At 35.5% G+C, this 27,495-nt stretch overlaps 1 long non-coding RNA gene across 5 annotated transcripts in view; it reads right to left on the bottom strand.

Moving 5' to 3' along the window:
• Nucleotides 1-872: 872 nt before the first annotated feature.
• The window catches only part of LINC01322 (long intergenic non-protein coding RNA 1322), a 332,490-nt gene continuing 305,867 nt past the window's right edge, over nt 873-27,495 (bottom strand). For 4 of the 5 annotated variants that reach the window (NR_174101.1, NR_174100.1, NR_174098.1 and 1 more), the window contains one exon: nt 873-1,245. This is a non-coding gene — a long non-coding RNA (long intergenic non-protein coding RNA 1322). Of the gene's footprint in view, nt 1,246-26,581; nt 26,644-27,495 lie in introns of those variants that run through there. The other variant, NR_125764.2, reaches the window with a different exon arrangement.

Raw genomic sequence — 27,495 nt, 5'->3', positions numbered from 1 at the left:
TAAAAAAACACTCATATTATCTCATAGTTGTGCAGGTCAGAATTTTGGGTATATCTCAGCTGCAGTGTCTCCTTGGTATCTCACAAAAATACAGTAAAGTATCAGCCTGGCTGGTGTTCTTATCTGGAGTTTAGGATCTGCTTCCAAAATTATTTAGATTGTTTGATGAATTCAGTGACTTGTGGTTATAGAGTGAAGTCTTCTGTGGCCAAGAAGGCATCTGGTGCAGCTTGGAGTATCTCAAGCTTCTTTCATCTCTGACCTTCGCATCCTCTTTCCAAAGGACTCACTTGATTGAGTCAAGACAACTCGCATTCAAGGGAAGGAAATTATGCAGCATGTGCACAGAAAGGGGTAGGCATCTTGTGAGCCATTTTAGTCTACCTACTACACACAGTGTTTTGAGAGAGACTTGAGACCTTTGGTATGACTGCAGTACAGACTGGAAACAGGCAAGCTGGATGAGCAGATAGATGCCTGATGTCTGTCATGCCATAGCATTTGAAGACTTTTTTTTTACATACGATGGGCGCTACGGAAAAATTTTAAGCAAGATCTTTGCTGCTTTATCAGCAATGTGGAAGATGCATTGGTGGAGTATGAAACTGTAGAAAGAGATATTTTAATAAAGAATATTAAAGTGTTCCTGGAAAGAGCTAATAAATTAAAGTTTTGATAGTAAGTGAGCATAGAAAGTTTACCTTTAGATACTAAGGAGATAAATTTGACTGTTTTAATGTACTCTACATTTACCTTTATATATTCACTATCTGCTATGTGATAAACACCATTCTAGGCATCAAGTCAGAATAAATATAAAATAGATGTTTTTTTTTAAAGTAGGGAAAGACAAAAACAGGCAAATTCATAAATGAGGTAATTTGAGATTTATTTCCTGCATGAAAACAACTGGATAGGGTAACAAAGCGGAGAACATGTCAGTTAAGCTGCTTTGGTCTGAAATGAACATTAGACTCAACTTCAAATGGCTTAAGTATAAGTGAGATTTATTATCACACATAAAAAGAAGACTAGAGGTAGTGTAGTGATCTAACTCAACAATGTCATTTAGACTCTGGTTCTCTTTGTCTTCTCTGCCATCATTAGGATGTTGGCTTCTAACCTCAGGTTTTACCCTTCCTGGAACAAGATGGCTGCAGCAGTGCCAAGCTTCACATTCTTACACAACAGTGTCCAGCTGATTGTTGAGAGGTTAGGTCTTGTTTGACACCTCCCCATCCTCACCTTTTAAGACAAAGAACATTTCTCAGAATCTCATCAGCAATCTTTCTTTCATGTCTCATTTACCAAAGGACAACCCATGCCCATTTTTATACCACATCACTCAAAGTTTATTCAAAGCACTGTAACTGAGCTGGATGTGGTGGCTCACACCTGTAATCCCAGAAATTGGAAGGCCGAGGTGGGCAGATGGCTTGAGCCCAGGAGTTTGACACCAGCATGAGCAACATAGTGAAACCCAGTCTCTATAAAAAATTAAAAAAAAAAAAATGAGCTGGTGTGGTGGTGCCCACCTGTAGCCCCAGCTCCTTGGGAGGCTGAGGTGGAAAGATCACTTGAACACAGGGAGGTCAAAGCTGCAGTGAGCCATGATTGCACCCTGGTACTCCAGCCCGAGTGACAGAATGAGATCTTATTGAAGAAAAAAACAAACAAACAAACAAAAAAAACAAAAACAAAACAAAAAAAAACTGTTTTAGAAAATTAGAAGTTTCTAAAAATTTTAAAACTTCAGATCTATACCAGAATTTCTGTGTGTGGAGCTCTTGCACTGGTTGAAAACTTCAGGGTTAGACTTATGAATAATGAAGTGCATCAGATTTAGACTAATGGGGATTGAGCTCACATCCTCTGAAACATGTAGCTATGCGAAGAGGGTATACAAACTCAGAGTGTTGTTAAACATAAATAAGAGGAAAAGAGTTGTCTGTTGAGGAAAATGACATGGCAAGATAATATTTTAAATAGAAAGTTAAGAACTATTATTTCTAAGGAGGTGATACATGAGCAAAAACCTAATCATGAGAAGGCAGCCAGCCAGAACTGGGCAAAGTGGAAGGAAGTAAAAGGCCTTAAGTTGAAAATGACCTTGGAATAGCAGAAGACAAAACGAAAACCAATGTTAAATAAGTTGGTGGAGTCAGTTTCCATAGTCCTTGATGGTTCCAACACGGAGCATGGACTAAGGGCCGTGACATGCTATGTTACAATATGGTGCTTCGTTGCAGCCTGATAGAATTTACTTTTCTTCTAAACATTCACTTCTGAAAGAATAAATCATGTAGAGGACTTAAGTGAGAAGAGGAGAGTCTTTTAGCAGTTTATGCAGCAATCCAAGTGCTTTGGAGAGAAAGAGAAGTGAACGGATTTAAAAATAAATCCATTTCATGTTTTCCTGGTAAATTGAAAGTGTCAGGTGAGGAAAATAAAAAAAGAGAGGGAGTATAAGGAAAATAAATAATCCCTCTCATGTTTAAGGTACTGAAGAAATGGGTAAACATGGATGGTCTGATTGACTAACAGAGTCACAAAGAAAATAGAAAGTTAAAAAATATATTTTTAGAAGCTAAAATTAATATTGGAGGAAGATCCGAAGGTACTGGTTGAAAGAAATAACAAACATAACTCATGTATGTAAATCCAACTATTTGGTATGAATAAACAACACACAGACTCTAGGCTATTTCTAACTGGAATTATAATGAAAAAAAATCCAAAAATTAAACCCTTATGAATGTAAAAGAGAGCAACAACTTGTAATGGTGGTTTCAAACTTAAAAATATGTGGAAATAGTTTATGGTGGACAGATATTTCCAGGAAGTTGACAATGCCATACTCTATGAAACTGTAGGCAAGAATTTCACCAAGCTAGCAAATAAAGAAGGCCATTTGTTTGGAAATATTTGTGATAAACACTGCCTGGAGAGAAAATTAGAGAAGTCCCCAGTTCCCTTCAACCCATCATCTTCCTTCGACCGCACACTATTACATATTCATGCATTATGCCTAACTACATTAAGATTATCAAGAAAGCACAAATCAGTTTGTAATTTGTGTTCTTGACAAGTTAACTCAACACTGCAAAATATATCAACTACTACCTTTAGGAATTTGTTGGCTAAAAGAAGAAAAATTTTCTAAAAGCTTATTTTCCTCATGGTGGTTAATGTGGACAATTTAAATGTAACCACACAGTGAAAAACATACTTTTCAGTTTCTGATACTGTGGGAATATCTGCAAGTTATCAAGATGTAGTAAAAGAATATCTATAAAATAATTTGTTGCAGGACCAATTTTGCCAACTAAAATTGAAAAAATAAAAATACTATAAGTGTCATGTTAATGGAGAAGTACAACTGATGTTTATAAAATTGAAACAACAAATATATACTAGGACCTTGTTTAATGTTATCACAATATAATGTTTTGTTTCAAGGTGTGAAAAAGTACTTCATTTATTCATTCAGTGAATATTTATTGAAATAACTACATATGCCAGACTCTATTCTAGGTAGTGAATAAACATTAAAAAATTCTCATTCTCATTGAGTTTATATTCTAGTGACAGAGAAAAAACAAAAACAAATAATAAGAAACCCACAAAAATAAATAAACCCCCAAGAACCGAGAGAATATACCTGTTCCTTGAGACAGGCATATTTTTTTTCTTGCACTTTGCTATGCAAACAGTATCTGACTTAGAGATTCATTTCAAGGTCACTTGGAGTGGATATTACACTCACTATGGATAGGTTTACATTCTACATCTAGGTTCAATGCTTGTGTCACAAAAGCAGAGTGAAATTAAAGCTATTATTCAGGCAATTAAGATCATGTGCCCTAACACTTCAATCAATGCTTCCCAACCATTTTCAGCCACCACACCATTCACATTCACAAAACAGTTCTGTAAGTAAGTTATTTCAACAGAACTTAATAATTCTCAACTAGGAGGCAATATGCATCATCTCAATGTGGGCAGAATAGGTGGAGGAAGGAAAGGACCTAGAATTTCCAGAGATGTTTAGATAGAGGAAATACTTTTTCTCCATTCTTCATCTGATGTCACCTTTTCACAGTTAAAAGTCAGTAATTTAAAATAAGCAGCATATCTATCTATCTCATTATTTAAGAATATCTACATAAATGCCACAATAATAGCAGCTAATGATAGTGCTTACTATGTTTCAGGCACTGTTCTAATAGATTTAATTCTGAAACCAACCCCTGATTAGAAAACCAAGGCATGGAGAAGTTAAGTGACTTATCTTAGGTCCCACAGCTAGTAAGTGACAGAGCTGGGATTCAAAATCAGGTGTCAATACCAGACACTGTGGTACTACTCTACTAAAAGAACACACAAATATATAACCATGGTTAAAACATACCATTATTCAATTGTTCATTTACGAAAAATTTAATATACAGTTTATTTCTTTTTGGCATGATCAGAAACTTACTGTTGGATCTTTCTGATTATGTCAAAAAGAGATGGAGTAAATATAAATTTAGCTAGTCCCTGAAGCTTGAATGGCTCTAATTAATAGCAGTGAGCTAGGTCCATACTTCTGAGTTTATTGAAATCTTTCATGAAGTCGTGCATCAAACTGGATTCTCATCCTTGAAGTGGAAACACTTGTTCAGCATAACCTTATGAGGATCAGGATCTGAAACACTGCTAGTTCTGGAAATACGAACCACCACAATAAAAACAATACTGGGAGTATCACTCATTTCCTCCTTTGTTTATTGACTTGCATCAATGTGCATCTGGGATACATAATGATGGAATTCATAGGTCCTGTTCTATGGCATTGTGGAAGCTACTGGAGCTTCGTGTGGCAGGTTTTTTTTGTCTATAAAAGCCATGTAAGAGTAAGTGAGAAATAAATTATAAACTGTGAATGTGAAAACATTTGTCACAGTACCTGGAATATATAAATGATAAATAAATGGTATATATCAGTTCTATTAATCTAAATGTTTATCAAAAATAGGTTTTTCTTGTTAAATAATTTTATTGAGTACTCCTTGGTAGAAAATGCTTAAATTGAGATTAAATAATTATTCATTATTTCAGGTTTTTTTTTTTACTTTTTCTGTTTTATTTATAAGCGACAAAACTTCTACATAACACATACCAGTGTGTACTTATACACACATTCACACACCTGCATGTAAGCATACATATACCCTTTCTCTCTCTCTCTCTCACACACACACACACACACACACACACACACACACACACATAGAATATGCAGGTAGATATGTTTTGATATAGTTTGTCTTTCTGTATGTTTGATTATTATGGTGCTTTTTCCCAAGTCCTAGAAATAGATAATGGGTTTTTTCCCCTTCCTACTGAAATTTGACTGTATTTCAACATTTTCTTTCAGAACAAAACTCTCCTCTCTGCTTTCAAAGTTGTTAGCTACCAAATCTGATGAAAAAGTCCTTGTTAGTAGTGTGACGGCAAAGTATTTTAGCACCTATTTCTAGATCCAGATAATACATAACAGTTCCAAATAATACATAGTGTGTTCATAGTATCTTCCTGAAGGCAATAATTTCATATCCACCGTACTTTCCAAAAGAGCTATTTCAATGGTGGGAATTTAAAGCAAGCAAAAAAGGAAAATTATAACAAAGGAGGATGAAAAAGATGATTTGTGTAGGTTGTTAGGATTCTCCAATTTTATTCTTATTATTTCTTTCATTTTAGCAATAATCAAACTTTACATTAATTCAACAAAGTTACTTCCCTCCCTCCAGGCATTGCCAATATAAAAAAGATTTTGGATTTTTAAGCAGAAAATGACAGCAGTATTTTAATCACAAAAGGCAATCATGTAATTAGCATTTATTATGTACCCATTTAAACGTCCTTTCTTTCAGAAAATGTCTTGTGAACACTGCAAGATATGAGACATGATAAATTACTCAAGTACAACATATGCCCGGTGGATGAGTTCACAATCCAATTGAAAAAATAAAACCAAAACAATGAGAGTATTGATTTATATACGCAAGTATTAAATTATTAGACTCGCATTACAAGAACTCTGGATAGCTATCAATACCTTAACTTTGACATTTCCAACTGCAAATGCCATTGCATGCTATATAGATCTTTTTACCCATAATCTACACTTCTGCTATTCTCTCTGTGTTCTCTCAAGTATCTTGCCTTTTTGCCAACTATTCTTCTAACAATAACTTGTCAACTAAAACAATGCTTAAATCCTATGTCATCTATTTGGATTTTTTTCTGATCTCTATGGTATTATCAATCAAATCTCAAAAATTCAGAGGTTCTCCTTCATTACTAGGTATTTTATATATTAGTCTTGCTTCTTCAAATAGAGGAAAGCTCTTTGAAGGAAAGAATCACGTCTCTAGTTTTCGAAATGTAATTAAGAAAGTTTTAGCAAGTGTGTTCATACAAAAAAAATTTTGATAAACATGTTAATTGAAGAGAAGAGATTAACAAGCCACATTTATTTCAGCATCCATTTTGTCTAATGACCATTAAGCTTTAATTAACTTTGAGTCAACATGCTTCAACCACCTTTTTCCCTGCTAGTTGTGCCCGATTAGAAAATAAAATATTTATCATCATATTGCCCCAAATTTACTAAAAATACTAAGGCTAGATACTTTGTGTTCCTATGAATTATTCTTAAAATTATATTACATTGTTATTGCTATTTGACTAAATGTACAAAATATATATAGCTTGAAGAATATGAATATAAATAAAAGTGACTCACAACTACAAGAATAAACATTACTCAGTAGATAACCAAGTGGTACCCTACTACCCACAGGTAATACTAATGGTCTCAGAGCAACATTTATATAATCACACTTCAATGGAAATCATTGCAATTAGAATAACATGCTATTTAGTTGGCTCTGATCTGATGATGCTCATGACTAGCTAAATTTCAACAGATTTCAATGTATAGCCTTGGACAAAGGTTGGCACTACCCACATTTTTACATGTAGCTAGAATATGTTCATGTTGTATAATATTTTCATTTTATGGCTTTTATCCCACAAATGGCATTTTAATAGAGGATCGTTCCATTAGTAAACAGACTGGTCTTGCTGACACATCTTTCCTTTTAAAATATACTTTGGCTGAATTCTAACAAAATCATTTTGAATGCAAAAGGGATGCTTTTCAAGCCAGATGGTTTATCTAATAGGAATGTTTTCTGATTAGAGAAACAGCAGTAGACTCATGATCACAGCAGGTGCCAAACTGGTTCTGTAGCTTACATGAATTTGCAACTGAACAAGTCATGAACTAAAGGGAATCTATTTTGAAATGTGCCACAGTCTATTCTGAGAAGAAGGGAGAGTGTAAAAGTTGCTACCATATTAAATAGGGTTCATATGGCATTTCTTGATGTGAATGTGGTCATTATTGCATTTGTGATAAAATCTATTTGTATACTAAATTTCCTGAGTATGTTGTAGAGAAGATTAATAACACTTCAAAATCATAAAGCTTACAGAGCATTTTATGATGGGATAATAATCTAAAGTGTTTTTTTGGGTCAAAATAATTTGGAATCTTTTAATTGGAAAAAATGTATCTTTTTTTTTCTTTCTTGTTTTCCTTATTCCTTGTACCTGTATTCTGCTTTTGTTTCAAGAAAAAAAATTTTACATGTACTGGTAATTAGGGAAACAGAATATTATTGGTATGATAGGCCCAGCCATGTCTAAGTGTGCATAAAAGGAAACCTCCCAGGCATTGCAGAGATGGCATCCCCATTCAGGTTCCGAGTAATGGACTGTTGCCTTTTACTATAGTATAAGTTGCTCCTGGGTGCTGAGATGACTATTGGGTACAAAAGACAGTGAGCCAGTAGATTCACACTGAGACTTAGTAGCTTCCCATTCTTCATGGTCTGACAATACCATCAAACTTTGATGCACCTTAATGGCATACAAAAGGAAAAGTATGTAGTCTAGGAGAAAAGATGTATAGCCCCCTATGATGGTTAACCCTGACTGTCAACTTGCTTAGATTGAAGGATACAAAGTATTGATCCTGGGTGTGTCTGTGAGGGTGTTGCCAAAGGAGATTATCATTTGAGTCAGTGGGCTGGGAAAGGCAGACCCACCCTTAATCTAGATGGGCACAATCAAATCAGCTGCCAGCATGGCTAGAATATAAGCAGGCAGAAAAATAGTGAAAAGAGAGACTGGCCTAGACTCCCAGCCTGCATCTTTCTCCCATGCTGGATACTTCCTCCCCTTCCTTGAATACTGGACTCCAAGTTCTTCAGTTTTTTAACCTGGCCTGGATCTCCTTACTCCTCAGCCTGCAAACAGCCTATTGTGGGACCTTGTGATCCCGTGAGTTAATGCTTAATAAACTCGTATAATGGACAGACTCCATTAGTTCTGTCCCTCTAGAGAACCCTGACTAATCCAGAATTTGGTACCAGAAATGGTTCTAGAGGAACAGAATATTAAGGATAGAGTTCCTTCATTGGTTTTGGGGTTTCTGGAGTTGGCTGCTTAATATGATTAAACACAAAAATGCTAAGGACTCTACATCTAATCGTATGGAGAACACTGATAGTCCTTGGCGTGAACTGTTTATAGAGTTATGCAAGATAAATGCATTTGACAGTCCTGATTCATTGCTCATGAGAGGCAAGGAGTTTAATGACTCTATACATAATACCTTTGACCATAGTGGAGAACCAAGGAACATAACGAAGCTGGTTGGCTGCTAAAAAAACAAAGTGATGAAAGAAAATGATGAACTCAGGGATTCTATCTCCCAGCTTCAGAAGCAGACACTGAGCGTTAAATCTGCTAAGATTGTCCTGAGTGAGAGTCTTATCTCGTGTAGAGAAAGAGCTGAAATTGTGGAAAAACAGACACAGGCTCTTATGTGAGTGGCTGACCTGCAATGAAAGGCGCATGCACAGCCTTGCCAAGTGTCCATTGTTAAACTGAGTACGTTGATTGGAAAAGAATGGGAGCCTGCAACTTGGCATGCAGATGTGTGGGAGGACCCTGATGAAACTGGGGACACTGAGTTTGTAAACGCTGATGAACCTTTTTTTGCTAGAAGAAGCAGCTTCCCCATCCCCAGTATTGGCAACATCCCCTCCCTGACCCATGCTGCCATCAGCCTTTTCACCTTTGTCTGAGGAGATAAACCCTGCGCTGCCTGAGGCAACAGTGATGACCTCCCCTGAGGCAGTTGCCAGGCAAGATAACGTTGATTCTCCTCAGGAGCCACCCCCAACACCCCTGTTTGCTTCTAGACCTATAACTAGACTAAAGTCCTGGCGGGCCCCTAGAGGTGAGGTTGAGAGTGTAACCCATGAGGAGTTACACCACCCTCAAAAATAACTGCTTGAGTTTGCTAATTTGTAGAAACAGAAATCTGGAGAACAGGCATGGGAATAAATATTAAGGGTGTGGGATAATGGTGGAAGGACCATAGAGTTGAATCAGGCTGAATTTATTGATTTGGGCTCTGTATTTAACTTTGCAGCTCATGGAATTTAAAAAGGTTCTAATAGTTTATTTGCTTGGTTAGCTAAAATATGGATTAAAAGATGGCCCACTGTGAGTGAGCTGGAAATGCCTGATCTTCCTTGGTTTAATGTAGAGGAGGGGAACCAAAGGTTTAAGGAGATTGGGATAGTGGAGTGGATTAGTCACTTAAGACTTACTCATCCCAGCTGGGAGGGTCCAGAAGATATAACTTTGACCAATGCCTTGTGAAATAGATTTGTGAGGGCAGCACTCACATCTTTGAAGAGCCCTGTAATTGTTCTTCTCTGTAAGTTAGATCTAACCATGGGAACCACAGTCACTCGACTACAGATTTTAAATACAATGGGAATAATTGGATCCCAAGGTGGCAGGGGCCAAATGGCAATACTCAACCATCAAAGACAGGGTTGCCATAGCTACTGTAATGGACAGCAGAGGCAAAGCAGCAATCAGAATAGTCTGACTCATGTAGAGCTCTGGCATTGGCTAATTAATCACAGTGTTCCTAGAAGTGAAATTGATAGGAAACCTACAAAGCCCCACAATAGGCTGTCTGCAGGCTGAGGAGCAAGGAGAGCCAGTCCAAGTTCCAACACTGAAGAACTTGGAGTCCAAAGTTCAAGGGCAGGAAGTATCCAGCACGGGAGAAAGATGTAGCCTGGGAGGCTAGGCTAGTCTCTTTTTTCACATTTTTCTGCCTGCTTATAGTCTAGCCATGCTGGAGCTGACTAGATTTTGCCAACCCAGATAAAGGGTGGGTCTGTCTTTCCCAGCCCACTGACTCAAATGTTAATCTCCTTTGGCAACACATTCACAGAAACACCCAGGATCAATACGTTGTATTGTTCAATCCAATCAAGTTGACGCTCAGTATTAACCATGGCAAGTTATTTTTGTTCCCCTAGAGAACCCTGACCGATGAGGGAACCCCCACCTACTTTCTTATCTTATTTACGTCAGTCACCTACTTTCTTATTTATATCAGCTATTCTGTTTATTTACTGCTTTGGAAGTAACTAAAGTAAAAGTAATCTAGAATTGAGTCCAAGTCATCATTCTCACTTATTGTCACCCCAGGCAAATTTCATGATCTGTTCTAAAACAGTTGGTTAGACTGTTGGTACCTGGAACATGTTCAAGTCAGAGATGCATCACCTAGAAGAATCATAATTTTGAAATTTTTGATAGTTCAAAATGCAAATGAAATTAGATTTCTATAGTGATATAAATGCAGTTATCTAAGTACTCTCTAAAGGTGTTCAGTAAGCATCAAAATATGTCTAAATGTAAGTTAAAACTTGAGGTCTCATTTTTAAAAGAAATATATTGATTGGGCCCATTTTTCCATATATGGATTTGTCATTGTAGGAATCAAAACTTTATATGGCTCATTATTACAAGTATCTTTACTAAGTAAATTCCTATACCTTATATCATTTCCTCTAACTAACCAAACTTCTTCAGAATTTTTAAGTATTGATTTTGTTTTAACCACTTGTTTTGGTAGTTATTAATACAAATACTTAAAGTTTTATAATACCTAACCACTTGATGTAGTAAATTTTGGATATTATTTAGATTAGCTATGAGTTTTATAGCATATTATACATTTATCTTCTATATTCTGTTTAATTCCTTCATAATTCACATCATGCAGAATAGAACATTAATGTGCTTATTTCATTAAAATTATGAGGTTGCTTACAGGAGTGTGAAATAGGGAACCTGGATTGAACTTTCTACTTAAATTATAATAGTCTATAATGAAACCTCTTCCAGCATTAAGCAATGTTATAGCATCGTTCATCCTTGCCTAAATGACCATTAACCTGCTCTTCTTTAACTTTTAAAATATTTCTATCTTTGTTCTAGGTCAGTGTTTTGTAACCAGAATAGAGGTAAGACAATGTATACAGGTAACCTACAATTTCCCAATGAGAACAGTTAAATTTCCCTCTCCATCTAAATAATATTGTATGCATGTACATAAATGTATGTATGTGCATATGTATGTAGATTTATATATGCATACATATGTGCTAAAGTCAAATAACCTGGGTGGTCATTATAAACAAGAACTTCCATGAGATTCCAGTGCTCACACTGCATATCAGTTTGAAATGAATTGTTTAAGAACTTCAGTTATATGATCTTTCGTCATTCATGATGTGCTCACTAAACAAGCCAAATCCAATTAATTCAACATTTTCTGTCCCAAGGAGGTCTCATGGAAATTTGAATGGAGAAAAATGGAGAGAGAACTCAATCACATGGAGTGCAGTAGGAGCCATGTACCAAACTGAAAAGGCTGTAGTCACATCAGGTAGTGCCATTTTTATGCCTCAAGTACACAGTTAGTTTGTGCAAAATAACATTACCATTAAATCCATTTAATGTTAATTTTATGTGTGCAATACTTTAAATATGTTTTGGGACAAGCTAAATCTATAAGGAGTGTATACCTAAATATGTATTTATTTGGATTTAAGAAACTGTATAATAAAAGTAACTTAAGTCATTACTGGTGGTGAGGAGAATACTTTGCATCCTTCCAAGGGAATATTCACATTTCTCAAGCATGAGAAATGCTGCTATAGTCTATGTGTACTCTCTGTGGTCTTGGGGTTTGTTACAGTGATGGGGCAAGACACAAGAATCAATTTGTTCCTTCAGGAGTTGGTAAATATTTTTGTAAATGACCAAATAGTAAATATCTGGGGCTGTGCAAATCAGAGCCTCTGTTGCAAACACTCACATCTAGCAAAAATGCAGCACAGACAATAAATAAATGAATGGGCATACTTGTGTTCTAACAAGATTTTATTTACAAAAACAAGTACTTCACCAGATTGGATCTGTAAAGTAAACTTTGCTCACCCCTAAAACTACCTGAGTGGGACATCAGGAGATGCACTAATAAAATATTTCAAAAGTCACCAATTACCCTAGCTTCTACAAAGGATATCCTAGTACTATTAACATAGTATTCCAAAAGAACACAAGCACAAAGCTATCAAGTTGTTTCTTACTTTAACTTAGAAATGGCTTATTATTTAAAGATGCTGAATAAAATCTACCAGAAGTAAAAGAGATAATATTCTCAACACATAGAAATGATAAGTAGCGGAGGCGATGGATATCCATACATGCATACATTCTATGACTATAATAAAATATCATATGTACTCCATAAATATACACAAATATTAAGTATCAGTGAAAAAATTTTTAAAGGTACATTTTATACACATCAAAAACTTAACAGTGACATAAATTAGCCACCTTATTAAATATTTAAAAATAAACATTCACCACTCCTAAAGCCAGCATTTCATTTTTCTCCCTTAAACATAAATTTTCAGAAACCTTTATGGTTATGATCTTTATGAATTTGGCTACTTTTTTTGGAAAACAGCAATGTGCTAAGGTAACACATTTTAGTAATGAGAGCAAACCACCTCTCTAATGTCAGCATGAATGTTTCTAATGCATTCTAAGTACCCTGGTTCTGAACAATAGCTTCACATATTTTGAACAATGATTACCTTTAGAACAAATAAATATAACACATCAGGCACTTTCTCTTCTTGCCAACTCAAAGGTATTAATTGAAAAGCAATAAAGATAACCAAAGAAAGTACATACTATTTTTTAAAACAGATTTCATATTAAATATAATTAGTTGATACTTTGTGAAAACCAGATAATTCAATTCTTTCAGCAAAACAGCATTTCTTCTACTCAAAATACATTTATGGTATTAGGAGGAAATCCTGATGCTTAAAGAAGTTTAATGAATGACATGTGTTACTACTTAAGCAATTTTACAGCAAAGGTAATTTGTTGTATCTAATGGTGTACATGATTGTGTTTTATTTTGTTTGTAAAACAGACATAAAGTAGTGAATCATTTATATCAATGTCTAATGGTCATTACTTCCACTCAGCTAAATTTTGATGTTTAGCTTTCCATTTTATTTTTTAAATTCTTTATAGAGGATTGTAACTTTCTAATTTGCCATACTCATTTTTCTTTATTTTCCCCTCTGATATAATTCAGCTGTGTCTCACCAAAATCTCTTCTTGAATTGTAGTTCCCAAAGTCTCCACGTGTCATGGGAGGGATCTGGTGGGAGGTAATTAAATCACGGGATGGTTTCCCCCATGCTGTTCTGGTGACAGTGAGTGAGTTCTGATAGTGAGTGAGTTCTGATGGCTTTATCAGCATCTGGCATTTCCCCTGCCAGCATTCATTGTCTCTCCTGCCACCCTGTGAAGAGGTGCCTTCCACCATGATTCTAGGTGTCCTGTGGCTTCCCCAGTCACTTGGAACTGTAAGTCAATTAAACCTCTTTTCTTTATAAATTACCCAGTCTTGGGTATTTCTTCACAGCAGCATGAGAATGGACTAATATACCTACTGTTACCTTATTACGTTTATACTTTCATTCTTTCTTTTGCCTGTTATTTTTTATTTAGGTCATTGGCAAACATTTATTAATTATTTTACATTAAATTAGCCATTAAAGGTATTTTGAGTTCACAACATGCCTGGCATTTTACAGTGGATGCTTACATAGAAAGCAGCCATGTATAGAGTGATGAATAATAACAGCAAGAGCATCTAGCCTTATTGGGGCAGGGCATGGAGGGTGTCAAGCTTTTATTAACACTGGCTATAATTTGAAGTAAGTAGCCTTAAAAGAAGTAAATGTTCATTGAAAATATTCAGTAATACAGAAGTATTAATATATACGTGAAAAGTACATTTTTCATACCTATCTCCCAAGCTCTTACACACTTGTAATCTGTCAGCACATCAATATATACAATATACATTCTGCACATGCAAATGTAAATGTTTATATATGTATCTGTGCCTGTATATACAGGTATAAAAATACATTACAATGTATTTCTTTTTACAAAATGAAACCTGACCTTGTACACTGCTCTCTTTTATTTTTTTCCCCATTCATCAAACACAGAAGCGTGGGCATCCTTGTACAAAAGTACATCTCATTTTTATATCAGCCAGCTACTCCAAATTGAAAATATCCTTTCCTTTATTAAATTATCCCCCTATTGATAAAATATAAGGCATCTGTATTTTTTTTCCTAAAAATGATGAAATACTGAACACCTAAATGGGGGAGTTTGTATAACTTTGAATTTGCCAGCAGAATTTTTGAGTCAAAGTGTTTGCACACTCACATGTTGACTGACAGCTTAAAGTAGTTTGTCTTCCAATTTGCTTTCCATCAACTGTGTATATTTCACCACACTGCCACATTCACTAATCATTGCCTTTTGTAAAAAAGGCAGTTTTTTGGAGAAATTTTGAATTGTATTTATTTCAGATACATTTCATAATCACCAAAGTAGTTTTACATTTTTACATGATTCTTGCTCTTATTTATTTCTTCCTCTGTGAATTATCTTCACTTCCTTTGTCCATTGCTCTGTCATGTTGTTTAGATATTGTTCTCATTGATTTAGTGTTGTTAATACATATTGACCATTAAGCCATCATTTACTATGTTGGTATTCTTTTTGTAACTGTTGTGGCTGTAGTTAGCCATAAATTACTTTTAAATTAATTATATGTAGTTTTAGTTGTCATTGTTTTGTTTCCAGGCCACATATCTTGAACAGAAAAGAGTCTCTCAAGAAAATAAAAACATTTTATTGATTATATATTTTATTTTAACATTTTATATGTAATAATTGAGATCTATTTAATGAGTTGAGTACATTTCTTTTTTTCACTTTTCTTTTTCTTTTGTATTTGTTATAACTAGCTTAAGCCACAATGATTAGAGTTTTATTGGATGTATACATTTATTTGACACACATTTGGTATGCTTATGTTTTGGTATGTTTTATTTAGTTCTTCAATAAAGATTTGTATTTTTTGCAAAAAAAACTTAAGTATTTTATGTTTGGAATAAATATACATATTTTGTAGTTGTTTTCTCATGAAGGAATTTTTTTTCTTAATATTGTCTTACTAAGAATCACAAGAAAACTATTGGAGTATGTTAGAACTTCAACTAGTTCAAATAATTTATTTGAGTAGCTTATATTTTTTATGTATTAATCAAATAATCTACCATTTGCCAATGGTAGAGTTTTTTTATTCCTTTAATTTAAATCTAGAGTTACTGATTTTATGACATTTCCAATATACTTGATTAATTCTGGTATTTTTAAGTATTTTTAAAGAAATTTTAAAATTCCTTTACGTTTTAAAATATTTAGAATAAAATCCCTGAGAAAGCCATTTTAAAATAAACTCTGATTCTTTGGGGATGTCCCTGTTTAAGTACTAATTGATTTTTTCTCTTTGTTTATAATCTGAATTATCTGATGTATTTCTCATTTATTTGTGAAGTACTTTATTTTGCTTTCAATTTCAATTTTTTTTCTTTTAGGATATTACTGTAACTAAATTCAAGACTTCTTTGGATGTCACCAGTTTTTCCATCAATGTCCTCTTACAGATTTAGGATTTAATCTAGGCTACATCATTGCTTCTGATTGTTCAATTTCCACAATGTCTTAATCTGTGATTGTTTATCTCTCCTTTCTGGTTTTCATGACCTTGAAAGTCTTGAGGCATACTGGGCAGGTGTCCTGTTGAAAGTCTCCAATGGATCTGTGTTGTTTTTCTCCTGATTAGACCAGAATTATCAGTCATTTGAAATAATACCACAGAGGGAAATGCCTTTCTCATCACATCATACCAGGGAGGTAGTAATGTCCACATGGAATCTGTGATGTTAACTTTCATCATTTGGTTGAGGTAGAATGTGCCAAGTTTCTTGTACTAAAACAATGCACCTTTTTTTTTTTCACTGCACTATTTTTTTGAAAAATATCAGCAAATCTAGCCCAATCTCAATGGGAAGGTGTGAAGAAAGGATAATAATTCATCTCCACCTCCTGGGAGCACAGTATCTCCATATGTTATTTGCAATTCTGTTAAAAAAAAAGACACTTCTTTTTTTATTAAAATAACTGGTTTTCAAATATTTATGATTTATTTCTCTTCCATTGCTGTTAACTTCACAAAATACCTTCAGAAATATTGATGAAGACAGCTAAGTTTATGTGACCTATTGCAGGAAGAAAAACTATCACCTTAATAGAGTACAAGTGTAGTGTCTCAAGAAGGAGAAGTCAGAGGGAAAGGGAGATGTTTATTAGAATCTCATACCTTCATGAGTGATTTTAAAGCTAGTCTTGACAGGGGGGAAGTTGGTTGAGATTCAACAGGGTCTAGGAAGTAGTTTTGGATTGATGGGCACCATGAAGCCAGGATCTTGAAATGAGTATTGATCAACACTTTTGTTAGTTTTGATTAAAAACCTATTTTAGCTGGTTATTCGTCTTATTTCCAAAGAGAAAATATTTTCTAGAACAAGTAATTGCTTTATTTTTGCTTGTTCTTGGTATTAACTTAATAGAGGTACAAGGAAATATTCTGGTTTCAATTTTATTTAACAAAGTGACCAGAAATTATGTTGATTTTAGTTCTTAATGTTTTGTTGTTTCGCTAGCTTCTTGAGGTGAATGCAGATTTCATTTATCAGACTAAAAATATACATCTGTGGCTACAAAATTTCTTTAGAGTATGATTTTGATATTATGTGATTTGATATATAGTAAGATTCATTTTTAAATAATATCTAATTTTAGTTTTGATTTCCCCTTTAACACAAATAACAAAATATTTTTATTTTCAAATATTAATTTTGGCTATTTTTAATTTTAACTTCTAATTTTATTCCGTTAATTCCATTAATATAATTTACATAAATTCTGCTTGCATTTTTTTCTAATATTGTAAATATATTATGGGTATTTGGGAAAAATTTATATTCTGTTTACTGGAAATTTTAAATATATTATTTCATAAAATACTTCTATTTCTAATATAGGCTCACTTTATATGGTTTGTGGCTTTTTTTTGGTACACACATGCTTATAAAGGCGGCATATTTATGATAGATTATACCTCTTTGCCTTTTTGTTCCAGCTATTCCTCTCCATTTCCATTCCACTTCTTTATCCCCTAGATCACCAAAGGAGGCACAAGTCCTTCAGGGTCTTAAGACTCTTAGGAAAACAGTTGCTTTGCCTTCTGGCATTCAGCCTGTCATTTTCCATCAGAAGTAATCACAGTTCTCCACAGGACAAGCTGTAGTTTTTTAGAACAGCCAAGTCTCATTCTATTAACAGCAACAAAAATCAGATGTCAGGCTGCAGAGATGTACCACAGTGACCATATTTTCTACTATTGTATAGAGCAATTTTTACTTCTTATAATGAAGGGTCTGTAATTGCTTTTCTGATATCGGAGTCTGTCTTTTATTTGTTTAGTTATATATCTCAAGAGATTTTTCTAGAATAAAAGAGCCTGTCTTAAAAATGTGTTTATTACCTCTATTTTAAAACAGAAACCTGATATTTTCTCTGAAACATCTGAAGGGTTACTGGAAGTTCTACTCTCTTTCAAGATTTCAAAAATTCTTGGGACCACATTAGAGTTCAATTTCAAAGTAACCAGTCACATACCTCCAGCAGTCTGTATAATAGTTTCCCCAAGATTCTCCCATGCTCACAAGAACAATTTAATATAGTAAGTGGTCAGCCATTAGAGGTAGATGGCACCTGTTGCGTCTTTATTGTCCTACAACTTACTGTGAGGCCTTGCACAATTTACTTAATTTCTTTACAATTATATTTCTCTAAATAAAAAATGAGAATAATACCAGGTTTTGCCTTGTACCACTGTTGCCAGGATTAAATGAGATAAAATCTGGGATGTGTTTTGCAAGAGCTTAGCACAGGGTGAGGACTCAAGGTAAGAGAACTCTTATTGGTAATGAAAGCTCAATTGTAAGATAATAAATATATACCAGGCATATATATCTTGTTCCAGGATCATTACCTTTTTCCTGGGAAGAGATCACAATTATACCTAGAAGCAAAAGCCAAGAACCCATTAGTATCTGAGAAAGCACATGGTAACAGAAGACAGGGTACAGGAAGCAGGTGCTGAGGGATCTACTTAATTCTGAAGGATGGCATGTGTCTGGCCAAGGGTTATTTTTAACAAGCTCAGCAAAACTACAGCAGATCATATTCTATAGCCTCTTAAAGGCACTGCCAGCACCTTCAGGTTTCGGGACCAATGGGAACTCTGTGCAAAGGTATTTGTTATCATTTCTGGCAAAATATTTACTTTAATTATGACTGGAATTCCTTGTCACATATTTTAATAATATTCCCACTGTCAGTCTATCCATAATAATTCAAACAGTGAAAATAGTCTCTACTACTAGATACTTGCCTTCTCTTTCACACTACCTAAATTTCTGAGAGTTAGCTGCTTCCTCACACCAGCAAGTTGAGTCAGCAGATAAGTGACCACATGCACATTGCAAAAGTACCTCTTTCCCTGTTACAAACCACAATTATCTCTAATTAAATTGTCTTGTAAGCACCTCAAACTCAACTCAACATCTCCAGGCATAATATATTGATTCCTATTATCATCTGCTTTCAAACTTTCGTCTTTCAATGTTACCCATCATAGAAAATGGTATCACCATTCATCTAGTTGCTCAGGGTTAGAACCTTACAATCACATTTCATCCCTCTTTCTCTCCTACCTCATAACTAATCCCTCAGTGAATAGCAGTCAGAGTAAAGGTAACAAGAGCTACCTTAAGCATATGTTCTTATTGCACCCTTCTCCCTACCTCCACTACCATTGAAGTCACACCATCATTTCTAACCTGGACAACTTCTGTAGCCTCCTAACTTGCCTCATTGCTTCCTCTATTGTATCACTCAGTCTATTCTGAACATACCAGCAATTATAGAATTTCTTGACCTCTTAATGACTTCTAAATGGCAAATCAGATAGTGTTACTCTTGCTTAAAATCTTTCAATGATTTCCTATCATACATTGAATAAAATTCTTATTATGGCTTATAAGAATGTCAGAACTCGGTCTTATCTCTGGCTTCCTCTGTGTCATCATTTCTTATCATTCTACTTGTTGCCCACTTCACCCCTGCCACAGAGCCCCCTTGCTATTTCTTAAGCACTCTCAGCACACTGTTGTCTCAGGATATTTGCACTTGCTATTCCCCTGTCCCAAAATCCTACTTCTTACATGGCAGGCTCACTTAATTCGCTTCATTCAGATTTCAGTTCATATATCCTCTTATCAGAGTATCTGCTTTTCTGCTTATATACCCGTAACATTTTTTCCCTAAAACAGCGTCCATGTCTCTCTATTCTATGATATTATACTATTTTATTTTTCTTCATAGCATTTATTACTTTTCAACATCTTGTTTGATTTGGTTTGATTTGATTATTATTGGCCCCTACCCATACTAAAATGTAAGCTCCATGAGAGTGGGGCTGGCTCTTTACTATCCACTTTTGAGTTCACAACATTTATAACACACCTTGAACCTGCCCCATTGTAGATACTCATCAAATAAATTTTCTGTTTATTACTCATTTTAGTTTTGTTTGCTCTTTGCAGTAATTAGTGTATGCCCTGCTAAGGGCCCTAATTAAAACTGTTATATGGAGCTGATGCAGGGTTATTAGATATGTTTTTGAAGTTTGCGTATTTCAGAATGCTAGGGGCACCCCTTGGATTTGCATTATTAAGAAAGTCGGCAGCTCTACACATTGGCCCTACAAGTAAGAAAAAAAAAAAAAAGAAAGAAAGTATTGAACAGGAACCCAACCTTAAGGCTGATAGAGAGAACCAGAGGAAACTGATAAATTTAGAGCAAGTGGAGCCAACAGGATTCTTAAGTCTACTGTTGATGATGTCATCATGCGGGTGATCATACTAGAGATCCCGATTCTATTGAAAGTCACTCCCCCTTTCCCCAGCCCCCGCCTGCAAATAAGCAAGTATAATAAAAGCATAATTTGGAACCAGTAAAATATGTGATTAATATTTAATAAACAGGATGTGTCAGGAGAACAATATCATGTCAGGTAGATGAGGTTAAATAATATGTGAAATTGAATTTATAAAATGTATTTGAAGGAATGAAAAGAAATGACAATAACCAATATCAAACTAAACATGTTCACAGTATTTTCTTCTCTTAGTGTCTTAGGGATTTTATGAATTGAGGAAACTTCAGGAAGAGACAAATGCTCTGTATGTTTTCTTTCCTTTGTCTCCTCCACGCAATGAGGTGATAAAGGTTTCAAATTGAAATGCACTTTGAAGTTATTAGGACAGAAGAGTCATCAATTTTAAGGTATTTTTCTCCTTTTCTTTCTACTATTCCTCACATCATTTTATGCCCTGGACCATTTTAACTGCCACTTTCTTAGGTCTCTATCACTCATCTCAAATTTCTCCACCTTCGCTATTCTGGCATTTCACCTTTGCTTTCCTCCTATTAAACCCACTAAAAGGCCCACAAATCATAGCCTCTGGTGAGTCATTTATCTTTCATACTTCAGTTTCATCATCTATAAAATAAAAATACTAGCAATCTTTTATGTGTTTTACAAATACAGTATGGTATAAAGCAAGTAATATGTGTGGAAAATGATGGAAGATGGTATGAGACAATCAGAAGGTAAGGAAAGTGGAGGAAGCCTGATCACCTGCAGAGCGGTCACAAATAGAGGAAGAAGGTGAAGCAAGGTTCTAAAGAAAAAGATAAGGAGCAGATAGTGGAAAGCAGGTGGTAGGGAAAGTGACTGCACCTAGTAACCTAAGGGAACAGTATAGAAATAAATGAAAAATCTTGTGAAACATCAAGATAAGCACCAATAAATATATAATCTTTTGCTCATCAGAAAGAGCTAAGCACTGTGATATGCCAAATATGTGTTATTATTTATATGCATTGGAAATTGGTTAGTAAAAGCATAAGCTGGCTTACTTACAGTGAGTTAGGAATTAAAATTAAGTCATGATTGCTATGGCTGTGTTTGTGCTGAAGTGAAATTGCATTATGATTAGGTAAATAGAATAAGACATACGTGCAAAATCCATTAAAGTCTTGGGCTCTCAACTCTTATCAAAGGAGTAAGGGAATGAGTTAAAAATAGTAGGCAATTAGAGTCTACCAACAACTACTCTCAGGAGATCTTTGTGCAAGAGCCAATAGTAGAGGTTGTTCAGAACAGGCAAATGGATGACTCAGAGTAGAAGATGGTCTCCTGGCCTGAGGCTTTCTTTTCATGCTTCTCAAATCAGAAGTACTTTTCACACTTCTCTCAGTAAAATATATCCAAGGAAATCCCGAGGAAAATCAAAGCAGGCTGCAAATACTAGATTATGACATAAATAAATCCCCTGATTCTTTCAGAATAGATACCAGTGAGATTTCAGACTACTGCTCCCCCTCAGGGAGAAAATCACTAAAGAAATTCCTTTCACTTACTTTGGGACTGCTTCTTGTTGAAAAGTGTTATTCTAACGATTTTTGTGCACTTGCTTTGTTACCCAGGCTTCAGGGTGAAAAGGAGTAAACTCCAAGAAAATAAAATGAAAGTATTGACTATTTTATACATTAATTAGATGAAAAAGCTGTATCTCTATAATGCCAGGATTCCACATTCCAAATTCCTGGAAATTGGAGTCTTTTCTTTTATTGACTGCTACCAGTACTTTTTTTCTTTTTTGGAAATGTTTTTTGTTTTTTGTTGTTGTTGCTTTTGTTTTAAAGTTTGATACTAAACTCAAAGCCTAACATTAAAGAATGAAAATTGGCCAAGCATGGTGGATTACACCTGTAATTCCAATACTTTGGGAGGCTGAGGTGGAAGGATTAGTTGAGTCCAGGAGTTCCAGACCAGCCTGGGCAGTATAGCGAGACCTTGTGTCTACAAAAACTATAAAACTTATCCAGGCATGGTGGTGCACACCTGTAATCCCAGCTACTCAGGAGGTTGAGGTGAATAAATCTTTTGGGCCTAGGAGGTTGAGCCTGAAGTGAGCCATGATTGTGACACTGCACTCCAGCCTGGGTGAAATATCAAGACTCTGCCTCTAAAAACAGACTGAAAGTTGCTGAATCATATTTTGGGTTTTATTTGCATGAAATAAAAGATTCATATAAGTAGAACAAGATCAAATAACAAATATATAAGTTTTATTTGAAAATTTTATTTTCTATGGTTTATTGACACAAACCATATAAATAGAATTTGTAGAAATAATCCAAGTGGTATAGAAACCAATTTTGTTTTTATAAAGTCATGAGATGGTGAAGATTTTTCTATGTCAATTTAATGGATTTAATTTTTAAAAAGAAGGTATTATTTTGTAATATGAACTGGATTAAATATTGGATTTCTATTTTGCTGTGTAATGTAAAACTGAATTAATATTTATTTCCACTGGTTCATTAAGTCAACAAATATTTGTGGAGTGCCTACTATCTGATAGGCACTGTTCTAGGTAACGTGATTAGGGAAGAAAACAAGATGAACAATACTTCTGTCTTTCTTTTTTTTCTTTTTTTTTTATTATACTTTAAGTTCTAGGGTACATGTGCACAACGTGCAGGTTTGTTACATATGTATACATGTGCCATGTTGGGGTGCTGCACCCATTAACTCGTCATTTACATTAGGTATATCTCCAAATGCTATCCCTCCCCGCTCCCCCCACCTCACAACAGGCCCCGGTGTGTGATGTTCTCCTTCCTGTGTCCATGTGTTCTCATTGTTCAATTCCTACCTACAAGTGAGAACATGTGGTGTTCAGTTTTTTGTCCTTGCAATAGTTTGCTGAGAATGATGGTTTCCAGCTTCATCCATGTCTCTACAAAGGACATGAACTCATCATTTTTTATGGCTGCATAGTATTCCATGGTGTATATGTGCCACATTTTCTTAATCCAGTCTATCATTGTTGGACATTTGGGTTGGTTCCAAGTCTTTGCTATTATGAATAGTGCCACAATAAACATACGTGTGCATGTGTCTTTATAGCAACATGGTTTATAATCCTTTGGGTATGTACCCAGTAATGAGATGGCTGGGTCAAATGGTATTTCTAGTTCTAGATCCCTGAGGAATCGCCACACTGACTTCTACAGTGGTTGAACTAGTTTACAGTCCCACCAACAGTGTAAAAGTGTCCCTATAACAGAGATATAGGCCAATGGAATAGAACAGAGCCCTCAGAAATAATGCCACATATCTACAACTATCTGATCTTTGACAAACCTGACAAAAACAAGAAACGGGGAAAGGATTCCCTGTTTAAGAAATAGTGCTGGGAAAACTGACTAGCCATATGTAGAAAGCTGAAACTGGATCCCTTCCTTACGCCTTATACAAAAATTAATTCAAGATGGATTAAAGACTTAAATGTTAGACCTAAAACCATAAAAATCCTAGACAAAAACCTAGGCAATACCATTCAGAACATAGGCATGGGCAAAGACTTCATGTCTAAAACACCAAGAGCAATGGCAACAAAAACCAAAATTGACAAATGGGATCTAATTAAACTAAATACTTCTGTCTTAACAGAGCTTGCGTATTAGTAGTAAAGAAACATGAAATTTCAATTAGATAGATGACAAATAGATAAAATTTAGATGAGATAGATATAAATATCATGATGAAAATAAATAGGGAGATGGGCTAGAGTTTGTGGTGGGTTACTTTAGATTGAGTGGCCACAGACTATTTTTGAGTCTGAATTACAAGATTTGGACAGACAATATTCTCAGCAGGGAATGACAATGACAAAGCCTGAAGATAAGAACTAGCTAGTTTTAGAAAACAGGAGAAAAGTCAGTGAAGCAAAGTAAGCACAGTGAAAAATGGTATGACATGACTTTGGGGTGTTGGTAGAAACTAAATCTCACAAAGCCTCATAGGACAACATAAGAGATTAATTTTATTCTATATTCTGTGTTTTATCAATCGTATACTGCTGGGAAGCAAATCAGTCCAAAACTTAGTAGCTTAAAAAGGAATATTGGGCTCAGTGCAGTGCCTCACACTTGTAATCCCAACAATTTGGAAGACTGAGGCAAGTGGATCACATGAGGCCAGCCTGGGCAACATAGCAAGACTCCGTTTCTACAAAAAAATAAAAAATTAGCCAGACACAGTGGCACATGCTGTGGTCTCAGCTACTGGGGAGGCTGAGGTGGGAGGACCTCCTGTGCTTAGGAATTTGAGGCTACAGTGATCTGTGAATGTGCCACTGTACTCCCACCTGGGTGACAAAATGAGATCTTGTCTCAAAAAATATTGTTTAATTAAAACAAAAAGCTATATTAATTTATTTTGCTCACAAATCCGCAATGATCCATGCAGCATCAGCTGAAGTGTTTCAACTGGGTCCTGAAAGATTCAAGATGGTTTACTCACAAGGCTCTCAAGTTCTTATGGGTTATCAGATGAGAGCTCAATCAGACTGTAGGCTAGGTGCCTGCGTTCTTCTTCATGTGAGCCTCCCCACAACAGGTCTCTTGGACTTATACAAGCATAGGGGCTAGGTATTAAGAGCAAGCATCCTAAATGAACTAGGAAAATGTATCATGCTTCATGACCTACTCTCAAAAGTCATATAGCATTAATAATCACAGCCTTGCCCATATTCAAGGGAAAGGAATACCTCTTGATGGGAAGAGCATCAAAGGCATATTGTAAGAAAAAGAAAGTAGCTGGGCATGGTGGTTCACACCTGCAATCCCAGCAAGTTTAGAGGTTGAGGCAGCAGGATCTCTTGAAGCCAGGAATTCAAGATCAGTCTGAGCAACAAAGTGAGACCCCGTCTCTACAAAAATTAAAATTAAAAAATTAGCCAGGAGTGGATGCACACCTGTGGTCCAAGCTACTTGGGAGGCTGATGTAGGAGGATTGTTTGCACTCAGGAGTTTGAGCTACAGTGAGCTATGAATGTGACACCACTCTAGCCAGGAAACAGAGTGAGACCCTCTCAGAAAGAAAGAAAGAAAAGAAGGAAGGAAGGAAGGAAGGAAGGAAGGAAGGAAGGAAGGAAGGAAGGAAAGAAGGAAGGAAGGGAGGAAGGGAAAGAGAAAGAGGAAAGAGAAAGAAAGAGAAAAATAAAGAATAAAAAAAAAGTGTGACAGGAAATCTTTGAAAAATACAATCTGCCACAGTCTATCTTCAGGCCACAGTGATTTATATACCTCTCGCATATAAAATACAGTCATTCCCCAAGACTAAAGGTCTCACTTCATAATTACATAAGCTCAAAGTTCAAAATCTTATCATATTAATCCAATATAGGTAAAAATAATTCCCCTTAAGTGCAATTCCTGAAATACAGCTCATTGAGCACTCTTTTTTACAATGTGATACATGTCACACATCTGACCTAAAAAGAGAATTTTTCTTGTTCTCCAAATACCCAACGTCAAGTGGAGGAACAGGCATTGGGAAACTGCTACAGACAATCCTACACAAAAGGGTGGGGAATGGGAAGGAACACAGTAGTCACCGGTCCATGTCAATCCTGAAATGCCAGGCACATGCTGCCAATTATTTGGTTAGAGTTCAGTCCTACTCCCTGGAAATTGCTCTCTATGGCTCTTTGCTGCACTCCAAGATCTCCTCAATCTGCCCTGAGTCCACCTTCCATTTTCCTAAGCCTGTTTACACCTATTTCCTGCTTGTAAAGGTTTGAGGGCTTAGCAATATTCCATTTTAAGCTATTTCTTTCCCTTTTTCTTACAAGTTGATACAATTATTTTAATATTTGTGGGATTTCTGTGTATTTGTGTACAATTCATTCCATCAGACGAAAGCCAAAACCACAAATCTTGTCAAGACAGGCCATTCTCTTTCTTGATCTTGCCATGAGTTTGCCTTGGGACACCATCCTTGAGATTCTTATAAGTCTCACTGTATAATGGGGAGGACATTTAAAACACATTGTTATGCTCCTTAGAGGGGTGATTGTTTTAAAAATTATATAAAGAATCATCTTAGATCTCTCTGAGGTCTTAAGTGTGAGTTGTACAGTATAATTGATTTTCTCCCTTAAGCCAGTCCTTGATTTGAACATCATTTGCAATCTAGAAAGAGTAAGAAAGAGAAACTGATTTATTTTCCAGCTAAGAAAGTTCTGAATATTTTATACTTAAGACTTAATTTTTAGCTCATTCCTCTCCCTCTGACATTTTATCATAGGCAGTGAAAAGAATCCCAGTGACACTTCCAATTTTCTGCTTGAAAATTTCCTTAGTTTGATCATCATGTTCATTGCTATATTTCCCATCTTGCCTGTTACTTCAGGTAATAGTGTTGTCAAAGTTTCCACTGCTACTAAACATCTTCCAATCACATTTTCCTACTTTCCTTGAGCTGTCAGACACAGCTTTCTCAACATTCTTTAGGCTTCTGGTAACACTTTGCCAAAGCTTTTCTGGCTTCCGTCTGTGGCCTATCTCAAAGCCAATGCTACATGTTTAAGTGTCTGTACAGCAACACTCCACTTTCCAGTACCAAAATTTATATTAGTTACCTGTTACTGGATTAAAAAAAAAAACTATCCCAAAATCTAGTGACTTAAAAGAAAAACAAAAATTTTCTTTGTTCATAATTCTGCAACTTAACAAAGTATGGTGAGTATGGAACAGCCCACCTCTGTTCCACCTGTCAAGATGGCTGACTTTCTTGGCTGGCAAATTAATACTGGTTATGGCCTGAAAACTTAGCTAAAGCTGGAGGAACCAGATCTCTCCATATGGGCCTCTCCATAGCTTACATGAATTTATTCAGGCATGGAGGCTGGGTTAGAAAGTGTCCTAAGGGGATCAGGTATGACTTTATCTAATTTCATTACCTGTAGTGTCAGTTCTGCTGGAATCATAGGGCCATCCACATTTAAAGGGAGGGGACATAGACTCCCACCCTACAGTGGTAGG

This window comes from Homo sapiens, chromosome 3 (genome assembly GCF_000001405.40).
Source record: "Homo sapiens chromosome 3, GRCh38.p14 Primary Assembly".
Lineage (NCBI taxonomy): Eukaryota > Metazoa > Chordata > Mammalia > Primates > Hominidae > Homo > Homo sapiens.
The sequence above is the reverse complement of the archived record's forward strand: the minus strand, read 5'-3'. Positions and strand labels throughout refer to the sequence as shown.